The sequence below is a fragment of the Homo sapiens genome, chromosome 18 (genome assembly GCF_000001405.40).
Source record: "Homo sapiens chromosome 18, GRCh38.p14 Primary Assembly".
Lineage (NCBI taxonomy): Eukaryota > Metazoa > Chordata > Mammalia > Primates > Hominidae > Homo > Homo sapiens.
In genome coordinates this window covers 31,803,092-31,823,931 of record NC_000018.10, presented here as the reverse complement: position 1 = coordinate 31,823,931, position 20,840 = coordinate 31,803,092, and the positions used below count along the sequence as shown (strand labels likewise).

At 42.8% G+C, this 20,840-nt stretch overlaps 5 annotated features.

The window, feature by feature from the left end:
- Nucleotides 4,020-4,520: an enhancer, noted in NCBI's record as "H3K27ac hESC enhancer chr18:29399375-29399875 (GRCh37/hg19 assembly coordinates)". NCBI's record gives its function as "activates a minimal SCP1, AML or CMV promoter by ChIP-STARR-seq in naive H9 embryonic stem cells {active_cell/tissue: H9 hESC(naive)}" and the evidence as "EXISTENCE:reporter gene assay evidence [ECO:0000049][PMID:30033119]".
- Nucleotides 12,555-13,332: an enhancer, noted in NCBI's record as "OCT4-NANOG-H3K27ac-H3K4me1 hESC enhancer chr18:29390563-29391340 (GRCh37/hg19 assembly coordinates)". NCBI's record gives its function as "activates a minimal SCP1, AML or CMV promoter by ChIP-STARR-seq in naive H9 embryonic stem cells {active_cell/tissue: H9 hESC(naive)}" and the evidence as "EXISTENCE:reporter gene assay evidence [ECO:0000049][PMID:30033119]".
- Nucleotides 13,333-14,110: an enhancer, noted in NCBI's record as "OCT4-NANOG-H3K27ac-H3K4me1 hESC enhancer chr18:29389785-29390562 (GRCh37/hg19 assembly coordinates)". NCBI's record gives its function as "activates a minimal SCP1, AML or CMV promoter by ChIP-STARR-seq in naive H9 embryonic stem cells {active_cell/tissue: H9 hESC(naive)}" and the evidence as "EXISTENCE:reporter gene assay evidence [ECO:0000049][PMID:30033119]".
- Nucleotides 14,111-14,888: an enhancer, noted in NCBI's record as "OCT4-NANOG-H3K27ac hESC enhancer chr18:29389007-29389784 (GRCh37/hg19 assembly coordinates)". NCBI's record gives its function as "activates a minimal SCP1, AML or CMV promoter by ChIP-STARR-seq in naive H9 embryonic stem cells {active_cell/tissue: H9 hESC(naive)}" and the evidence as "EXISTENCE:reporter gene assay evidence [ECO:0000049][PMID:30033119]".
- Nucleotides 19,509-20,300: an enhancer, noted in NCBI's record as "OCT4-NANOG-H3K27ac hESC enhancer chr18:29383595-29384386 (GRCh37/hg19 assembly coordinates)". NCBI's record gives its function as "activates a minimal SCP1, AML or CMV promoter by ChIP-STARR-seq in naive and primed H9 embryonic stem cells {active_cell/tissue: H9 hESC(naive and primed)}" and the evidence as "EXISTENCE:reporter gene assay evidence [ECO:0000049][PMID:30033119]".

Here is a 20,840-nt window from a genome sequence, read left to right as displayed (position 1 = left end):
CCAGGCCTTTCTCAGATATAGGAGAGATTAACTAAGAGCCTGACACATTTTAAGGTCTGAAAAGAGACATTTATCATCTGTTCTGTCTGAAGTCGGCTGCCTGGAGGCTTCATCTACATAAAAGAACCTTGGCTTCCACAACCCTCCTTACCTTAACTATTTCTTCCTACTGACTTCAAATCTTTAGACAAAGCTTAACTCCTTCAACCAAATGCCAATCAGAAAATCTTTGAATCCACCTATAACCCGTGAGGCCCCCACTTCAAGATGTTCTGCCTTTCTGGGCTGAACCAATGTATATATAATTTATGTATTCCATGTATTGATTTATGTCTTTGCCTGTAACTTCTGTCTCCCCAAAATGTATAAAACCAAACTGTAACCCTACTGCCTCCGGCACCCTTTCTCAGGACCTCCCGAGACTATCCCTAGGGCCACAGTCACGCATATTAGCTGGAAATAAACAGCTTTAAATATTTTACAGAGTTTGCTTTTCTTTTTGTCAACAATGTTGATTAATAAACTCACTAGTGCTATTGAGACAGCTGATATTTGAAAGTCTTTTGGTAGCCACTTTAGAATATGGCCTGACCTGTGTTTTTCAAAGGCTAAATAACCACCCAGGGTTAGGTACCCTGGTTATATTTTTATTTTTCACTTTTTTCATGTCATTATTATCATCTTGTCTCTGTAATCTTATATATCTGCCTTGTACTCTTGTTATGTAAAGCGAAATGTTTCCTTAAGTGTTAGTTTTAAAATTTTTATGGGTATATCTTTGGTTACATATTTTGTCTGCTCCATAACATCATTCAGACAATTTTTCTTCTTCTTTCTTCCTTTTTTTCTTGTATTATTTTCTATACATACCTAGTCTGGTTTCTAAACTTATTTAAAAAAATATATTAAGACAGGGTCTTGTTATGTGGTAAGGCTGGTCTTCAACTCCTGGGCTCAAGTGATCCTCCCACTTTAGCCTCTCAAGTAGCTTAGGACTACAGGCATGCACCACCATGCCTGGTTAAACTCATTTTTAAAAGGAGTTTCTTGACCAACTATTTGCAAGATGGTACTGTAGTAATACTGTGTTCCAGTAATTTATCTTATGATCAAAACTTATATATACAACTAATTTTAGCCTTTGCTACTTTTCAGCCAACCAAGATTAGCAGATACAGAAATTGATGCTGAATATTTTACCTCCACCCTGCTTTATTGCAAGATTATTTTTTTCTTATAAAAATGAGTTGCCGGTAAAATTGTTCAGCCCTGTCTTCTCTGTTTTTCTCCATATTCCAGTTGAAAAAAGGGACACTCTCATCTTGGCTGTCACAACAGACACAGAAAAGGCACTTTGAAGATGATTTTCCATGATTATTAACTGAAGATTCTATGGAAGCATGGAAATAAAAGTGTGATGGGCACACTTCTGGTTTTCCTCTAACATTCCTGATACTCGTTTCAGTCTCCTTTTTTTTTTAAGATAGGGTTTTGCTCTGTTGCTGAGGCTGGAGTGCAGTGGCATGATCTTGGCTCACTGCAACCTCAACCTCCCGGGCTCAAGCAATCCTCCCACCTCAGCTTCCAGAGTAGCTGGGACTACAGGTGAAATGGCCTCATTGCCTGGGTGGCACCCAAAGTTCTTGATCTCATGGCTGAGGAAATCAAGGACATGGACAAACCAAGGGTGAGGTTAGAGCAGAAGTTTAATATGCGAAAGAAAGAGAACAGCTCTCTGCTGCAGAGAGGTGTCCCAAAAAGTGTTGCCCCTTCTACAGTTGAATTATAAGAAACTGTTGAGGGCTGGGCATCTCATTTGCATAAAGCATGAATGTCTGGTAGCTCCACCCCAACCTTTTATTATGTAGGCGGGTCCTTGGCCTGAGCTACTCCATGTTGCTTATCTCTTTCCTACTGTGCATGTGCTTAAAAAAAGGGGAAGGTGAAGCCCCCGTGGTTGACGTGCCTGGCACCAGGTAACCCTTCCTATCGGTGCAGCTGCAGGCATATTCCATGCAAACTTCCAGCTTCCTTATCTGAGTATGTCCAAAACAGGAAAGGAATGTGCTTACTGGGACCCACCGTATGTAAGTGAAGCTTACTGATTACCCAGGAAGCTCCCCTTCTTTGCCGGAGCTGCTTCCTTATCTTTGTTTGCAGCCTGATCTTCCAGGCTGCTCTTTGTTAGAAGAGAAGTGATTTCTTGCGCTGCTTTTTGTTAGAAGGGAAGTTCTGCCAAGGACTCTTTGCCCTAACCATCTGCCTAACTAGTTTCTTTTTATCTCCTCTCTCACAGGCATGTGCCACCACGTCAGCTAAGTTTTGCATTTTTGGTGGAGATGGGGTTTCACCATTTGGGCCAGGCATGGGCCTACATGGGATTACAGGCATGAGCCATCGTGCCCTACCTCAGTCTCCTTTGTAAACTCACTTTGCTTTACTCAACCCTCAACAGTTAGGCCTAATTATTTGTTAAAAGGTGAACTAGCTGCTTTTGGCACGGTATGAAATTTCTATTAAAAGGAGGGCTAGTTTCTACTCCTACTCTTTTTTAATTTCCATATTTTGTGGAATCCTGCATTAATAATCACGGAAAATCATTTTAGAAGTGCATTTTCTTCTGAATATTCGAGGTGCATAATTAAGCATTTAAAAATTGACCATGCTCAAAAACTAAATGAATGAATAAAGAAGACAACAGGCCAGGCATGGTGGCTCATGCCTGTAATCCCAGTGCTTTGGGAGGCCGAGGCAGGCGGATCACCTAAGTTCAGGAGTTTGAGACCAGCCTGGCCAACATGGTGAAACCCCGTCTCTACAAAAAATACAAAAATTAGCTGGGCCTGGTGGCATGTGCCTGTAATCCCAGCTACCCAGGAGACTGAGGCAGCAGAATCACTGGAACCCGGGAGGCAGAGGCTGCAGTGAGCTGAGATCACGCCACTGCATTCCAGCCTGGGCAACAGGGCAAGACTGTCTCAAAAAAAAAAAAAAAAAAAAAAAGCAGAAGATAACAAAGAAAGAGCAGTGTAACAGAAAAAAAAAATTCCAGAATAACAAGATTAAATGAATTTTTTTTCCCCCTTTTTTTTGTTTCAAGCAGAGTTTCACTCTCGTTGCCTAGGCTGGAGTGCAGTGGTACAATCTGGGCTCACTGCAACTTCTGCCTCCAGGGTTCAAGTGATTCTCCTGCCTCAGCCTCCCAAGTAGCTGGGATTACAAGTGTGCGCCATCACGCCAGGTTAATTTTTGTGTTTTTAGTAGAGACAGGGTTTCACCATGTTGGCCAGGCTGGTCTCGAACTCCTGGCCTCAGGTGATCCACCTGCCTCAGCCTCCCAAAGTGCTGGGATTACAGGCGCAAGCCACTGCGCCCGGCTGAAAATGGATTTTTAAAATATTGTTATTTAATAACCAGCTGAAAATGGATTTTTAAAATATTGTTATTTAATAAATGAAAGCTAAGCATAGTGCTATTCTTTAGAAAGCAATTCTTCTACTGTGAAAAACAGAATTGTTGACTCCAAGAAAACACAATATTATAAAGTAATATTTCCCAAAATACGTTTCATTGAATACGATATTAATAGGTCTTAGGTGAAAAAAAGAATTCCCAGAGTAAACTAAGTAAATAAATATAGAATTAAAATTAAAGAGGTTTCTTTACTGCTTAATATGTTAATGGAGGATTTCCCAAACATATTCAACTAGGGAATAGCCTTTCCTAGCCAAAGCATCTTTCAGAACTAGTGATATGTCCCATGATTAGAGGTTAGTGAACTTTTTTTGTAAAATGACAGATAATACATATTTTAGGCCTTGCAGGTCATAGAGTCTTTGTTGCAACTACTCAGCTCTTTTGTTTCAGCACAAAAACCACCAGACACAAATAAATGGGTACGGCTATTTTTCTAAATAAACACCTGTTTTGTAAATAGAGTTTTATTAGCATTAACACTGAGTAACATTGTCAGTGTATCTTGGGAACATGGACAAGACCAAAAAATAGAGGAAGAGAAAGGAGAGAGGAGAGAGTATAGTGACAGAGCATTCCTTTTTATGGAAAGTTTCACTAAAACCTACCAAGTGATAACTGAAACCAACTATATCCACTAGAGGGCACTAGGAGTGCAAGTTTGCATCAATGTTGTCCATACCCTTTGCCTTTAAAATGTTGAAATTAGCATTATATGAGGTAACACATAGCAGAGTTTGGAGGAGTTCACAAAGAAAAAATGTGGCCCGAGGAGGTGGCCAGATGACTGAAACTTATATACCATTTTAGGCTAAACAAAAGAAAGGGGGATTTGGGCTGGAGTTAGGGGCAAGTTCTGGGAAGGAGAGTGAAGGAAATGCATGGTAACTAAAAGTTGTTTTGTCATGCTGAGAAGAGCCTCTCAGGTGGTGTATTAGTTTGTTCTCACGCTGCTAATAAAGACATACCTGAGACTGGGTAATTAATAAAGGAAAAAGGTCTAATTGACTCACAGTTCAGCGTGGCTGGGGAGGCCTCAGGAAACTCACAATCATGGTGGTAGGGGAAGCAAACACGTCGTTCTTCACATGGCGGCAGCAGGAGAAGTGCTGAGCAAACGGGGGCAAAGCCCCTTATACAACCATCAGGTCTCCCGTGAACTCACTCACTCTCACGAGAACAGCATGAGAGGAACCACCCCCATGATTAGATTGCCTCCCACCTCGTCCGTTCCATGACACACAGGGATTATGGGAACTACAATTCAAGATGAGATTTGTGTGGGGACACAGCCAAACCATATCAGGTGGTAAGAGTTGTCTCCAGGAGCCTCTCTTCTTGGTATGGAGACATCTTTACAATGGAAATTTCCTTTGTAAATATAAATATCCTTTATAAAAGGAAAATTTTATACTTTCCTTTTAGATAGGGGGAAGTAAAAAGCTTTTCCTGCATCTCCTGGTTCTCAGTTGCCTATAACTCAAAATAATTCTTGTCAAAGTGGTATATTTTTTGTGGGGCATATTCTGGTACCTTTAAATTTCAAAATCGATATCAAGATTGATGTATCAAGTTTATAGAAAGTATTTGAATATTTTAAGAATTTAAAGGTAGGTTGTAATATTTTCTAAACAATAATACGTTTTTGGATGTATGAGTTTACTTGCGAATAACAGGCTATAATATAGTTTGGCTGTGTCCCCACCTAAAATCTTATCTTGAATTGTAATCCCCATAATCCCCATGTGTCAAGGGAGAGACCAGGTGGAGGTAATTGAATCACAGGGGCAGTTTCCCCCATGCTGTTCTTGTGATAGTGAGTGAGTTCCCATAAGATCTGATGGTTTTATAAGTGTTCGGTAGTTCCTCCTGCGTTCATTCTCCCTCCTGTTGCCTTGTGAAGAAGGTGCCTTGCTTCCCCTTCACCTTCCACCACGACTGTAAGTTTCCTGAGGCCTCACCAGTCGTGCAGAACTGTGAGTCAATTAAACCTCTTTCCTTTATAATTTACCCAGTCTCGGGGATTTCTTTACAGCAGTGTGAAAACAGACTAATACAGGCTGTCATCTCTGCAAACAAGATTGCCTTGGAACAGCTAGTATTGAAAGGTTCCTAAATCACACTACCCAGCTTTCAATCCATGGCTTTCCTCCTTACCAAATATAAGACTTTGGGGCAGTAACTTAACCAGCCATCTGAGTTTTTTCATCTGTATAGTGTAGCAACAATAATTCCTATTTCAATGGGTCGTTTTGACGATCGGCTGACCTAATTCCATACATTTCTTAGCTCAGTGACTGACAGTAATAAGTTCTCAAAAAATGTATCATTTTAAAACATGATTTACTTAAATTCCATTTGAACTTCGTAAGTCCCTCTGTAAGTCCCTCTAATAGATGTGATTTCAAATGGCTGTATGAAACCTAAATAATTCAAACTTAATTATAATTTTTAGAAGCCTAAAAATTATGTTGAGCCTTAAAGGAAATGTGACTGTGTGGTCTGAGCACATGCATGTGGCTGCAATTTCTGCTTCTCAGGTTATAGATTCATTCTTTCTCGTTGTTCTTGTTCTGCAAATCAATTAGGAAAGACTAAATGGTGCCAGACATAAGACCTCCCCCTCCTGATGATGGCTAGCCTTTCCTCCTTTATTATCTTGCATCTAACTCAGATCAGATGGTGCGGAAGACTCCATGATTGTTATATCCTCAATGTGGAATGTTAAATATACCTTTCCCAAAAAGAACACCACCTCAATTAATCAGATTACTGTAACTGTGTGCTAGCCTTGTGTGGAAAATGTTGAAACATTGTTAAGCTTCCCAAACCTTATTTATATAAATGACCCCCAAAACTTCTCCACTTTGGAGCACTGGCTTCCATTCTTTGGAATCTGTGTTCCTGGATGCCTATCCTTAAAATTTGTGCTTGACTAAATGCTATATTTAACCATATTTCTTGAATCTCTTTAAGGTCGACACTCTATAGCAACCACCGCACTATTTTAAGTTACCAATTCTGTTCAAGATTCTAGGCTTTATTTTGATTGTAAACTTGGGGCTTGGCACATCAACTGTGAGATTTGTTTCTTTCATATCATTCCTTAATACTTAGAACAATGCAGGACACATACTAGAAATTCTTGTTGAATTGAATAGAAGAAATGAACTGATGAATGAGATATTGGGTACCATAACTCTTTTGACCAATGCCCTCTGATCACTTTAAATCTCAAGAAGAGCCTCAATTTCAATAATTAAAATTTCCAAGAACTTTAATAACCAGCATTCTGAATTTCATAAAGTTAACATTGGCTTCTCTCCTGGGAAGCTTTCAGTTTGGGAGGAAGATGGCCAACTTCTCCATTTTTCTACTGTGTGCTTCTCCTTCCTGTGTTAATATACTTGGCTGACTCTGAATCTTCCAGAATTTGGTAAAAGTACCTAAGTAGGAGTAGCAAGGGTGTAGGAACGCCTTACCTCACCGGTACTGTGATAACCTGGCATTGATGGTCTCTGGGCACCAGGGAATGTTTTGTGGGTTCTTGAGAGATCTCCCATTACTGGGAATCTTCCACAAGGTGGAAGCCATGTGTCGATGATAGAGCAACAATTTAGTAGAAGCCCATCGTCCCGATGATTGTGGAGTCTACATAGTTGCCTGGGACTGTCTATCTGGACTTTTGTGCAAAAGAAGTAAAGTTTAATTTTATTAAACCTATTGATTTTTTTTGCTGAACATACCCTAACTAATAAAACTATGTTGCCATTGCCAGTAAGGTGTGTTGTCCCCTCTGAGTGTTTAAGATCCTAGCAGGAAGCCATGTTGTTCATCATGTTATACCTATGGATTTTGTGCAGTGCCTGGGCATAGACTATATGTTCAAAAATATTTGTTTGATGAATAGATCAACCTGATATTTTTATAGGGGCAGGCTGGTTTGATGTGCCACATTTTATTATTGAAACCCAATTTTTAATACAGCAGTTAATTTGGCTGAGTTTAGTATTGTTATTGTTGACCACTTATCCCCTCAATTCTCGTCTCTCGGAGTCATTTTTTTTTTTAATACTTTAAGTTCTGGGTACATGTGCAGAACGTGCAGGTTTGTTACATAGGTATACATGTGCCATGGTGGTTTGCTGCACCCATCAACTCCTCATCTACATTAGGTATTTCTCCTAATGCTATCCCTTCCCTTGCCCCCAACCTTGCCCTGGGGGAACGCCCCAGTGTGTGACGTTCCCCTCCCTGTGTCCGTGTGTTCTCATTGTTCAACTCCCACTTATGAGTGAGAACATGCAGTGTTTGGTTTTCTGTTCCTGTGTTAGTTTGCTGAGAATGATGGTTTCCAGCTTCATCTGTATCCCTGCAAAGGACATGAACTCATTCTTTTTTATGGCTGTATAGTATTCCATGGTGTATATGTGCCACATTTTCTTTATCCAGTCTATCGTTGATGGGCATTTGTCCCAGAATCTTTTTTTTTTTTTTTTTTTGAGACAGAGTCTCACTCTGTCACCCTGGCTGGAGTGCAGTGGTGTGATCTCAGCTCACTGCAACCTCCCTTTCCTGGGTTCAAGCGATTCTCCTGCCTCAGCCTCCCGAGTAGCTGGGACTAGAGGTGTGCGTCACCACACCTGGCTAATTTTTGTATTTTTAGTAGAGTTGGGGTTTCACCATGTTGTTCAGGCTGGTCTCTAACTCCTGACCTGGTGATCTGCCCGCCTTGGCCTCCCAAAGTGCTGGGATTACAAGAGTGAGCCATCACACCCCGCCCAGATGATGTTTTAGAAGTCTAGTCTTTGGGCTGGGCGCGGTGGCTCACGCCTGTAATCCCAGCACTTTGAGAGGCCGAGGTGGGTGGATCACAAGGTCAGGAGATCGAGACCATCCTGGCTAACACAGTGAAACCCCATCTCTACTAAAAATACAAAAAATTAGCCAGGCTTGGTGGTGCATGCCTGTAGTCCTAGCTACTCAGGATGCTGAGGCAGAAGAATCGCTTGAACGCGGGAGGCAGAGATTGCAGTGAGCCGACATCGCGCCACTGCACTCCAGCCTGGGCAACAGAGTGAGACTTCATCTCAAAAAAAAAAAAAAAAAAAAAGAAGAAGTCTAGTCTTTGACCAGGTTCCCCTCATCATCCACCAGGATACTCACAGCCGTCCTGGTTGTTCTTGTCTGGGCAGCGGCTGTGCTGGCTTCCAGGGTCACCTCTGGCCACTGGCAGGTAACAGGCTTCTCTTTGGCCACAGCTTTTTTCATGCTGCTTTGTCCTGACTGTGGCCAATCTAAGCCCTTCCTTAAGGCCCCAAATCACAGCTAATACTATAAGCTGCAGCACTGAATAATAATTAAGCAAAGACTTGGGGTTAACAAGGACACCAACTACAGTCTGTTTTCTAAATGAGTGAAATTGCCCAAATAGCAAAATTTCCACATTGAAACAAAAGTTTAAATTTCAGTCTTCATTGTTCCATTTGTCTCAATGGGCTTTCACTGGCTGATTATGGGGCAACATAGATTCAAACTTTGGTTTCTAAAATATTTATAGAATATCTATTATAGAGGGCTGCAAGCAAACCTGCCTGACCTTCACTGTAGGGGGATATATTAGCTTTGTTATACTGGACAGGAAGCAACCAACTGTCAGTTTTAGAGAGAGACAGATCTCAACCTTCCAAGGCTGACACAAACATCCAGGAAAAGGTAGTCTGAAACAAAATGGAAGTTAATGCTTTGGCTCACAAGAGATGCAGAAACGCAAGAGCTTCATGAAGAATTATGTCCCAACAGAAAGCAGCCATTATATCCCTTGAAAATACCTTTGCACATCTGAGAAGCTTTTTTTTTGAGTAATGTTAAGAGTAACAAAACAATTTCAGAATGCAACCCACTTGGAAAATTATCCTTAGAGTAAAATCTTAAAGGAAAAAAAGTGTCATATCAAGAAATTGTTAAGATTGCTAGCCAAGAGCCAAGGAGTAAGGATAGCCTCAGAAACCATTTTTACATACATCCTCTAGTGTAACATCATAAACAGAAAGTCTGTGCTAGACATTTATTTCTTGGTATTACACCACAACCGTCTGATGATAAGCAGAAATTATTTGCAGATCAAGACAATTGTTCTGCAGTCTGGATGTCCTCAGATGACTGATAAAGCAATTCTAGGGTTCCCAATATTCACACAAACTTTTCTCTTTGAGGAGGCTGATACCTGGTTCACAGCTTATTTCCTTTTTATTATTCACCATTTTGGCTTTGCAGGCATTCAAGACGTTCTATATTTAGTGTAACCGTTCCCCCTTATGAGATGGTGTGATATTATAAAGGATTTTTAACTCTTTGCAGGAAAATCAGTTTTACCGTTAGTCCCTTATTTATGACAGGGATATCACAACTCTCATATTTTGTAGTATTTTTAATTATTTCTTTTATTTTTTTCTGGGATGGAATGGTATGATAGGAAACATACCATTTTAAAAAGAAAGAAAAGCTGATCTTAATTGAAAAAATTAAACTCTGATTTATATTAACTTCTAAGTGATTGTAGGGTTGGGATTTAAAATTACATGTTCTCCATTTGTGCATTAGAAAATGTCATGTGTGTGTGATACTTCCTAGTTTATAATATTAAAATACACATATGTGTATATTTAGTTAGTGATCCATAAAAAGAGCTACTTTGAAAATTAAAATTATTTGTAATGATCAAAACAATGTCCCACTAATAAAATTTTATACAAAGGAAGCTCTCAATTTGTTAATTTAAATTAAGTTCACATTTTCACCTGTTAAATTTTCTTTTTTTAATTTTAATTTTTTGTTTATTTATTTATTTTTATTATACTTTAAGTTCTAGGGCACATGTGCACAATGTGCAGATTTGCTACATATGTATATACATGTGCCATGTTGGTGTGCTGCACCCATTAACTCGTCATTTACATTAGGTATATCTCCTAATGCTATCCCTCCCCCCTCCCCGCAACCCATGACAGGCCCCGGTGTGTGACGTTCCCCTTGCTGTGTCCAAGTGTTCTCATTGTTCAGTTCCCACCTATGAGTAAGAACATGCAGTGTTTGGTTTTTTGTCCTTCCTATAGTTTCCTGAGAATGATGCTTTCCGGCTTCATCCATATCCTTACAAAGGACATGAACTCATCCTTTTTTAATGGCTGCATAGTATTCCATGGTGTATATGTGCCACATCTTCTTAATCCAGTCTATCATTGATGGACATTTGGGTTGGTTCCTAGTCTTTGCTATTGTGGATAGTGCTGCAATAAACATACATGTGCATGTGTCTTTATAGCAGCATGATTTATATCCTTTGGGTATATACCCAGTAATGGGATGGCTGGGTCAAATGGTATTTCTAGTTCTAGATCCCTGAGGAATTGCCACACTGTCTTCCACAATGGTTGAACTAGTTTACACTCCCACCAACAGTGTAAAAGTGTTCCTATTTCTCCACATCCTCTCCAGCACCTGTTGTTTCCTGACTTTTTAATGATGGCCATTCTAACTGGTGTGAGATGGTATCTCATTGTGGTTTTGATTTGCATTTCTCTGATGGCCAGTGATGATGAGCATTTTTTCATGTGTCTGTTGGCTGCATAAATGTCTTCTTTTGAGAAGTATATGTTCATATCCTTCGCCCACTTTTTGATGGGGTTGTTTGATTTTTTCTTGTAAATTTGTTTAAGTTCTTTGTAGATTCTGGATATTAGCCCTTTGTCAGATGAGTAGATTGCAAAAATTTTCTCCCATTCTGTAGGTTGCCTGTTCACTCTGATGGTAGTTTCTTTTGCTGTGCGGAAGCTCTTTAGTTTAATTAGATCCCCATTTGTGTATTTTGGCTTTCGTTGCCATTGCTTTTGGTGTTTTAGTCATGAAGTCCTTGTCCATGCCTATGTCCTGAATGGTAATGCCTAGGTTTTCTTCTAGGGTTTTTATGGTTTTAGGTCTAAATTTAAGTCTTTAATCCATCTTGAGTTAATTTTTGTATAAGGTGTAAGGAAGGGATCCAGTTTCAGCTTTCTACATATGGCTAGCCAGTTTCCCCAGTACCATTTATTAAATAGGGAATCCTTTCCCCATTTCTTGTTTTTGTCAGGTTTGTCAAAGATCAGATGGTTGTAGATGTGTGGTACTATTTCTGAGGGCTCTGTTCTGTCACCTGTTAAATTTTCTTATAGTAGCTTTTATACTGTTGCCATTTTGAATGTTAAGAGATTAGCCTGCTTATGTAAATTTAATGTTAAATTTTTTCAAAAGAGAGAGCCCAGGTGTTGCCAGACTAAGCCTGGCTGTCACTCCCAGGAGTCTTCATAAATGGTATTTACCTGGGCTGGTTCGTTGCTTTCAAGGAACTGTTCTAAAGCGTTTAATTCTCAGAAATAAATCTCTTCCTAGTTTTCTGTCAAAGCCAGAGATTTATTACTTGTATAGAGTAAGGTGAGCACACACATGCGCGCACACACACACACACACCAGCACAGTGTTGCTTTTGTAAGTTAATAGATGTCATACATTATCTGTTCACCTCAGTTAGTGTAATGACTGAAATCATGCTTCAGAAGCCTTTGCTATGGCCCTTGAAAGGGCACGCTCCTCTAAAAATCCTTTCTTCTTTTTCAAGAAGTAAAACCAGTGAGTGAATTAGGTCTTTTAGGGTATCTCAGGTGATGGGAGTTTATCATAGGAAACCAAAGGAAAGTCAAGAAGCAGAAGAAACCATCCCAGTTACTGAGCTTTCAATACTGTGGACCTAGCACGCCATTTTGCATCCGGGTATCACATCGGCAGCTCGTCTGTCTACTGCTCCACCATCGCTTCGGGTTCTAATGGTACTTCCATTTTAGTGCTGTTTCTGCTGCCAATCCCTCTAATGAATCTAGGTAATACTGCCTTTGCTTAAATTTCTATCTTTCCCGTGGTCTCTACCTATGAGTTTACAGTTGTGAAGGGGTGGCCTGCCCCTCCACACCTGTGGGTGTTTCTCGTTGGGTGGGACGAGAGACTGAGAAAAGAAAGAGACACAGAGACAAAGTATAGAGAAAGAAAAGTGGGCCCAGGGGACTGGCGCTGAGCATACGGAGGACCCGCGCCGGAGGACCCGCGCCGGCACCGGTCTCTGAGTTCCCTCAGTATTCATTGATCATTATCTCTACCATCTCGGAGAGGGGGATGTGGCAGGACAATAGAGTAATAGTGGGGAGAGGGTCAGCAGGAAAACATGTGAACAAATGTCTCTGTGTCATAAACAAGATTAGAAAATGTGCTGTGCTTTGATGTGCACATACATAAACATATCTTGTGCATTAAAGAGCAGTAGTGCCACCAGCATGTCTCACCTCCAGCCTTAAGGCGGTTTTCTCCTATCTCAGTAGATGGAACATACAATCGGTTTTTACACAGAGACATTCCATTGCCCAGGGGCAAGCAGGAGACAGATGCCTTCCTCTTACCTCAACTGCAAAGAGGCCTTCCTCTTTTAATAATCCTCCTCAGCACAGACCCTTTACGGGTGTCGGGCTGGGGGACTTTCAGGTCTTTGCCTTCCCACAAGGCCATATTTCAGACTATCCCATGGAGAGAAACCTTGGACAATACCTGGCTTTCCTAGGCAGAGGTCCCTGTGACCTTCCGCAGTGTTTTGTGTCCCTGGGTACTTGAGATTAGGGAGTGGTAATGACTTTTAACAAGCATGCTGCCTTCAAGCATTTGTTTAACAAAGCACATCCTGCATAGCCCTAAATCCATTAAACCTTGAGTCCACACAGCACATGTTTCTGCGAGTACAGGGTTGGGGGTAGGGTTACAGATTAACAGCATCTCAAGGCAGAAGAATTTTTCTTAGTACAGAACAAAATGGAGTCTCTTATGTCTACTTCTTTCTACATAGACACAGTAACAGTCTGATCTCTCTTTCTTTTCCCCACACAGTTGTCTCTCTGAGAGTCTCTCAGGTTTTGCTGCTCAGAATTGTTTTCTTTTCTTTTTTTTTTTCTTGTTTTGTTTTGTTTTGTTTTGTTTTTGAGACAGAATCTTGCTCTGTTGCCAGGCTGGAGTGCAGTGGCACGATCTTGTCTCACTGCAACCTCTGCCTCCCGGGTTCAAGCGATTCTTCTGCCTCAGTCTCCTGAGTAGTTGGGATTACAGGCACCTGCCGCCACACTTGGCTGATTTTTGTATTTTTAGTAGAGACAGGGTTTCACCATGTTGGCCAGGCTGGTCTCGAACTCTTGACTTCAGGTGATCCACCCGCCTTGGCCTCCCAAAGTACTGGGATTATAGGCATGAGCCACCGCGCCGGGCCAGGACTCTGTTTTTTATCCATGTATGTCACCTTTGGACACCCCAAGGGGAAAATCTGATGGGGGGTTTTCATGCACATCCATGCGAAGAGACCACCAAACAGGCTTTGTGTGAGCAACATGGCTGTTTATTTCACCTGGGTGCAGGTGGGCTGATTCCGAAAAGAGTCAGTGAAGGGAGATAGGGGTGGGGCTGTTTTATAGGATTTGGGTAGGTAAAGGAAAAAGGGGGGTTGTTCTCTGGTGGGCAGGAGTGGGGGGTCACAAGGTACTCAGTGGGGGAGCTTTTGAGACAGGATGAGCCAGGAGAAGGAATTTCACAAGACAATGTCATCAGTTAAGGCAGGAACAGGCCATTTTCACTTCTTTTGTGGTGGAATGTCATCAGTTAAGGCAGGAACCGACCATCTGGATGTGTATGTGCAGGTCACAGAGGATATGATGGCTTAGCTTGGGCTCAGAGGCCTGACATTCCTGTCTTCTTATATTAATAAGAAAAATAAAATGAAATAGTGGTAAAGTGTTGGGACGGTGAAAATTTTGGGGGGTGGTATGGAGAGATAATGGGCAATGTTTCTCAGGGCTGCTTCGAGCGGGATTAGGGGCGGCGTGGGAACCTAGAGTGGGAGAGATTAAACTGAAGGAAGATTTTGTGGTAAGCGGTGATATTGTGGAGTTGTTAGAAGGAACATTTGTCATTTAGAATTATTTGTGATGGCCTGGATACAGTTTTGTATGAATTGAAAAACTAAATGGAATAAGAGAAGGAGAAAAACAGCTATAAAAGCTCTAAGAATTGGGATGACTCAGGACATCTGATTAGAGAGTGCCTGAGGAGATTCAGCGTAGTCCTGCCAGCAAAGATTATTTATTTACTTCAAGAGTTAAGAGTGGCAGTTTGGGGATAGCACGAGGAGATATCAGCTGTGATGGCTTGGAGAAACAGTGTAAACCGGCAGTGTAAACAAGAGCAGGGCATGTATGAGTAGTTGAGAACGGTGAATAGGAGTATGACTAGACAGAAGATAGTAGGGATAACAGGTTTTTTGGGGGCACAGTCTAAGTTGGTCTGGTGTCTGGAATGAGACTGGGGCCTAATAAAAAGGAGCGTCTATACAGGAGCTTAAATGGGCTGTACCTTGTAGCATTCTGAGGACAGGTCTGACTTCTGAAAAGGGAAAGTGGTAAAAGTATTGTCCAGTCCTTTTTAAGTTGGTGGCTGAGCTTGGTGAGGTGTGTCTTTAAAAGACCATTAGTCCGTTCTACCTTTCCTGAAGACTCAGGACTGTAAGGGATATAAAGGTTTCACTGAATACCAAGAGCCTGAGAAACTGCTTGGGTGATTTGAGTAGTAAAGGCTGGTCCGTTATCAGACTGTATAGAGGTGGGAAGGCCAAACCAAGGAATTATATCTGACAGAAGGGAAGAAATGACCTCGGTGGCCTTCTCCGACCCTGTGGGAAAGGCCTCTACCTATCCAGTGAAAGTGTCTACCCAGACCAGAGGTATTTTAGTTTTCTGACTCAAGGCATGTGAGTAAAGTCAATTAGCCAGTCCTGGGCAGGGGCAAATCCCAGAGCTTGATGTGTAGGAAAGGGAGGGGGCCTGAACAACCCCTGAGGGGTGGTAGAATAGCAGATGGAACACTGAGAAGTGATCTCCTTGAGGATAGATTTCCATGATGGAAAGGAAATGAGAAGTTCTAAGAGACGAGCTAGTGGCTTATAACCTAAATGGAAGAGGTTATGAAATGACAACAGAATAGAATGGGCCTGTGAGGCTGGAAGGAGATATTTTCCTTGGTCTAAGAACCATTTGCCTTGTGTGGGAAGAGATTGATAGGTAGAAGTTTCAGCAGGGGAGTAGGTGGGAGTGACCGATGTGAAGGAGAAAAACTGGCCATGAGGTACAGAAGTTGGAGAGCTAGCTGCTTGTCTAGCCACTTTATCAGCATAAGCGTTGCCTGGAGCAATGGGATCTGACACCTTTTGATGCCCCTTGCAGTGAATGACCCCAGCTTCCTTTGGAAGTAAAGCAGCCTTGAGTAGAGTTTTTATTAAAGAGGCATTAATGATGGAGGACCCTTGCATAGTGAGGAAACCTCTTTCAGCCCATGTAACAGCATGGTGGTGCAGAATATGAAAGGCATATTTAGAATCAGTATAGATATTGACGCGTAGTCCTTTTGCAAGAGTGAGGGCTTGAGTTAAGGCAACTAGTTCGGTTTGCTGAGAGGTAGTGGAGGAGGGAAGAACGGTAGCCTCAAGGATAGATGTGGAAGATACTATAGCATAGCCTGCCTTTGCTGGTGAGTGGCGATTAGGCCTGGTGGAACTGCCATCAATAAACCAAGTGTGATCAGGGTGAGAAACAGGGAAGAGGGAAATGTGGGTAAATGGGGTGAATGTCAGGTGGATCAGAGAGATGCCGTCATGAGGGTCAGGTGTGGTATCTGGAATGATGTGGGAGGCAGGGTTGAAGTCCGGGCCAGGAACAATGGTAATTGTGGGAGACTCAACAAAGAGTGAGTATAGCTGAAGGAGCTGGGGAGCAGAAAGTATATATGTCAGGTGTGAGGAAGCGAATAGATTTTGGAAGTTATGAGAAATGTAGAGAGTGAGTTGAGCATAGTTTGTGATTTTTAGGGCCTCTAAAAGTATTAAAGCAGCAGCAGCCGCTGCACGCAGACATGAGGGCTAGGCTAAAACAGTAAGGTCAAGTTGTTTGGACAGAAAGGCTATAGGGTGCAGTCCTGGCTCTTGTGTAAGAATTCTGACCACATTAACCATGCCTAGGAAGGAAAGGAGTTGTTGTTTTGTAAGGGATTGAGGTTTGGGAGATTAATTGGACACGATCAGCAGGGAGAGCACCTGTGATTTTATGACGAATTATGCTGAGATAGGTAACAGATGAGGATGAAATTTGGGCTTGACTGAAGTAATGGGGGCTGCCTGTGAAGCCTTGCGGCAGTACAGCCCAGGTAATTTGCTGAGCCTGATGGGTGTCAGGGTCAGTCGAAGTGAAAGTGAAGAGAGGCTGGGATGAGGGTGCAAAGGAATAGTAAAGAAAGCATGTTTGAGATCTAGAACAGAATAATGGGTTGTAGAGGGAGGTACTGAGGATAGGAGAGTGTATGGGTTTGGCACCATGAGGTAGATAGGCAAAACAATTTCGTTGATAAGGCGCAGATCCTGAACTAATCTGTAAGACTTGTCCGGTTTTTGGACAGGTAAAATGGGGGAATTGTAAGGAGAGTTTATAGGTTTTAGAAGCCCATGCTGTAGCAGGCCAGTGATAACAGGCTTTAATCCTTTTAAAGCATGCTGTGGGATGGGATATTGGCGTTGAGCGGGGTAAGGGTGATTAGGTTTTAATGGGATGGTAAGGGGTGCATGATCGGTCACTAAGGAGGGAGTAGAGGTGTCCTATACTTGTGGGTTAAGGTGGGGAGATACAAGGGGAGGATGTGAAGGAGGCTTTGAACTGGGGGAAAAGGCAGCAATGAGGTGTGGCTGTAGCCTAGGAATAGTCAGGGAAGCAGATAATTTAGTCAAAGTGTCTCGGCCTAATAAGGGAACTGGGCAGGTGTGGATAACTAAAAAGGAGTGCTTAAAAGAGTATTGTCTAAGTTGGCACTAGAGTTGGGGAGTTTTAAGAGATTTAAAAGCCTGGCCGTCAATACCCACAACAGTTATGGAGGCAAAGGAAACAGGCCCTTGAAAAGAAGGTAATGTGGATTGGGTAGCCTCCATATTGATTAAGAAGGGGATGGACTTACCCTCCACTGTGATAGTTACCCAGAGCGTCTGTGATGGTCCTGTAGGCTTCGGAGGCGATCGGGCAGTGTCAGTCTTCAACTGCTAAGCCGAGATCTGGGAAGCAGTCAGTCAGAGAGCCTTGGGCCAGAGTTCAGGGGCTCTGGGAGTGGCTGCCAGGTGAGTTGAACAGTCTGATTTTCAGTGGGGTCCCACACAGATGGGATGTGGCTTAGGAGGAATCCGGGGCTGTGGGCATTCCTTGGCCCAGTGGCCAGATTTCTGGCACTTGTAGCAAGCTCCTGGGGGAGGAGATTCTGGAGGTACCCCTGGCAGCTGCGGTTCAGGCATTTGGAGTTCTCGTGTGCTGGAGATGTGGCTGGGGTTTGTCTCACAGTGGAGGCAGGGAATTGCAACTCAGAAATACGTTGCTACTTGGCTGCCTCTATTATTGTACACCTTGAAGATGAGGTTAATTAAGTCCTGTTGTGGGGTTTGAGGGCTGGAATTTGATTTTTGGAGTTTTATTTAATGTCAGGAGTGGATTGGGTAATAAAATGTATATTGAGAAGAAGACGGCTTATTGACCTTTTAGGGTCTAGGGCTGTAAAGCATCTCAGGGTTGCTGCCGAACGAGCCGTGAACTTGGCTGGGTTTTTCATATTTGATGAAAAAGTCTAAATGCTAACTGATTTGGGAGAGGTTGGATAAAGAAAAAGGAGCATTAACCTTGACTATGCCTTTAGCTTCAGCCACCTTTTTAAGAGGAAATTTTTGGGCAGGTGGGGAAGAACTAGTCGCAGAACGAAACTGTAAGCCGGACCCGGTGTGAGGAGGAGAGGTGATAAAAGGATTATAGGGTGGAGGAGCGGAGGCTGAGGAAGAATTGGGACCTAGCTCAGCCTGGTGAGGAGCAGCCTGGGGAGGAGGGGAAAGGTCAGATGGGTCTGTAGAAAGGGAAGATTAGAAAGACTCAGTGGCGCTTGGGGTTGGGACTGAGGGGACAGGTGGGAGGGAAAGAAGGAAGATTTGGGACGAGTTGCACTGGGCACAGAGACTAGGGAGGGACCGATGTGTAAAAGAATGCCTGGACGTCAGGCACCTCAGACCATTTGCCTATTTTTCGACAAAAAATTATTTAGGTCTTGTAAGATGGAGAAATCGAAAGTGCCGTTTTCTGGCCATTTAGAATCACTGTCAAGTTTGTACTGGGGTCAAGCGGCATTGTAGAAGAAAATAAGGCATTTAGGTTTTAGATCAGGCGAGAGTTGAAGAGGTTTTATGTTCTTATGAACACAGGCTAAGGGAGAAGAAGGAGGAATGGAGGGTGGAAGGCTGCCCATAGTGAAGGAGGCAAGTTTAAAGAAAAGGGAGAGTAGAGACACGGAGGGAAGCAGTTCGGGGGTTCTTACCCTCCAGAAAAGTGGGAAAGGGGTTGGGGCACAGAGATATGAGGTCGGGGCATGGAAATAAGGGATCATGGTGCAGAGATATAAGAGGTTGGGGTGTGGAAATAAGGGATCAGGGCACAGAGATATAAGAGGTTGGAGCACGGAAATAAGGGATTGGGGCACAGAGATACAAGGTTGGGGTACTTGCCCTTCCCCCAGAAAAGCGGGACTTGCCACTAAGAGTGATGGAGAAGGGGTTGGGGGTTTCTTGCCCCCCAGAAAGGCGGAGAAGGGGTAGAGACATGGAGAGAAGGGGTTGAGGTACTTGCCCCTCCCCTAGAAAAGCGGGACTTGCTGCTAAAGGTGAAGGACAAAGGCAGGCGTCCCTGCATGGTCTGACACCTCTGAAACATGGGTGAATAATCAGAGAGGCGACCCTGCAATTATTAAACACCAAGGGAAGGCTGCCTTCCCAGTCTGTGACTGGCACTGGAGTTTTGGGTCCATGGATAAAACGTGTCTCTTTTCTCTCTACCAGAATATGAAAGGAATTGAAATTAAGAGAAGGGAGAGATTGAAGAGTGGAAAGGAGAAAGTGGTTGAGGGACAGTGAGAGAGGTTGGAGAAGAGAGTAAGAAGAGGCCGCTTACCCGATTTAAAATTGGTGAGATGTTCCTTGGGCTGGTCGGTCTGAGAACCTGAGGTCGTAGGTGGATCTTTCTCACAGAGCAAAGAACAGGAGGACAGGGGATTGATCTCCCAAGGGAGGTCCCCCGATCCGAGTCACGGCACCAAATTTCATGCGCGTCCGTGTGAAGAGACCATCAAACAGGCTTTGTGTGAGCAACATGGCTGTTTATTTCACCTGGGTGCAGGTGGGCTGAGTCCGAAAAGAGAGTCAGTGAAGGGAGATGGGTGGGGCTGTTTTATAGGATTTGGGTAGGTAAAGGAAAAAGGGGGGTTGTTCTCTGGCGGGCAGGAGTGGGGGTCACAAGGTACTCAGTGGGGGAGCTTTTGAGCCAGGATGAGCCAGGAGAAGGAATTTCACAAGACAATGTCATCAGTTAAGGCAGGAACAGGCCATTTTCACTTCTTTTGTGGTGGAATGTCATCAGTTAAGGCAGGAACCGACCATCTGGATGTGTATGTGCAGGTCACAGGGGATATGATGGCTTAGCTTGGGCTCAGAGGCGTGACAGGTGTCTTCCTCACAGCCCTGTTGTGAAGAAGTCTCAGGCCACTTCGTATGTCCCTTTGTGTTCTGATTGTGGGTTTATCATCAGAATCACGTGGTGGTATTTTATAATACAGAATTCATAACCCTTTCTTGGGAAATTTGATCCTGTAGCTCTGGGCTTGTTCCTACAAGACTGGTTTATAAGAAATGCTCTAGATGTTTCTGAAATACTGCGTTAGATGGCTATATTTGTGTCAGGCATGCATTTCTGGTCTAATTGGTTATGTTTAGATTGTAGCGTCAACTACCCAAAGAACAAGGGAACCTTGTTTTGCTGCTATCCCAAGAAGAGAGGGTAACTGGCAGGCCCTCTGAGGGCCAGCACCATGTTGGAAATAGGTGGTACATTAGAAGCAGAGTAAAGCCCATCACAGGAGTTGAATTTCAGACTTGGCTCATGGTACATGAAAGTTTGAGTTAATTGTGCTTCTGACATTTTGATAAATGAGCCATATTGTCTGGAACTCAACTCGTTTGTTGCGACTTCTGTCTGGTAGCCTGCATGTCTACAACGTTTCAGTTCAGAGCAAGCTCCGCTGTATACTCTGTAGAAATATGACCTATAATGCATGCTCATGGGAAATTTAGACATGGGGGTTAACAAAATTAACAAGGTTGTTTTTAAAAATATTGAATATAATATAGTTACCAA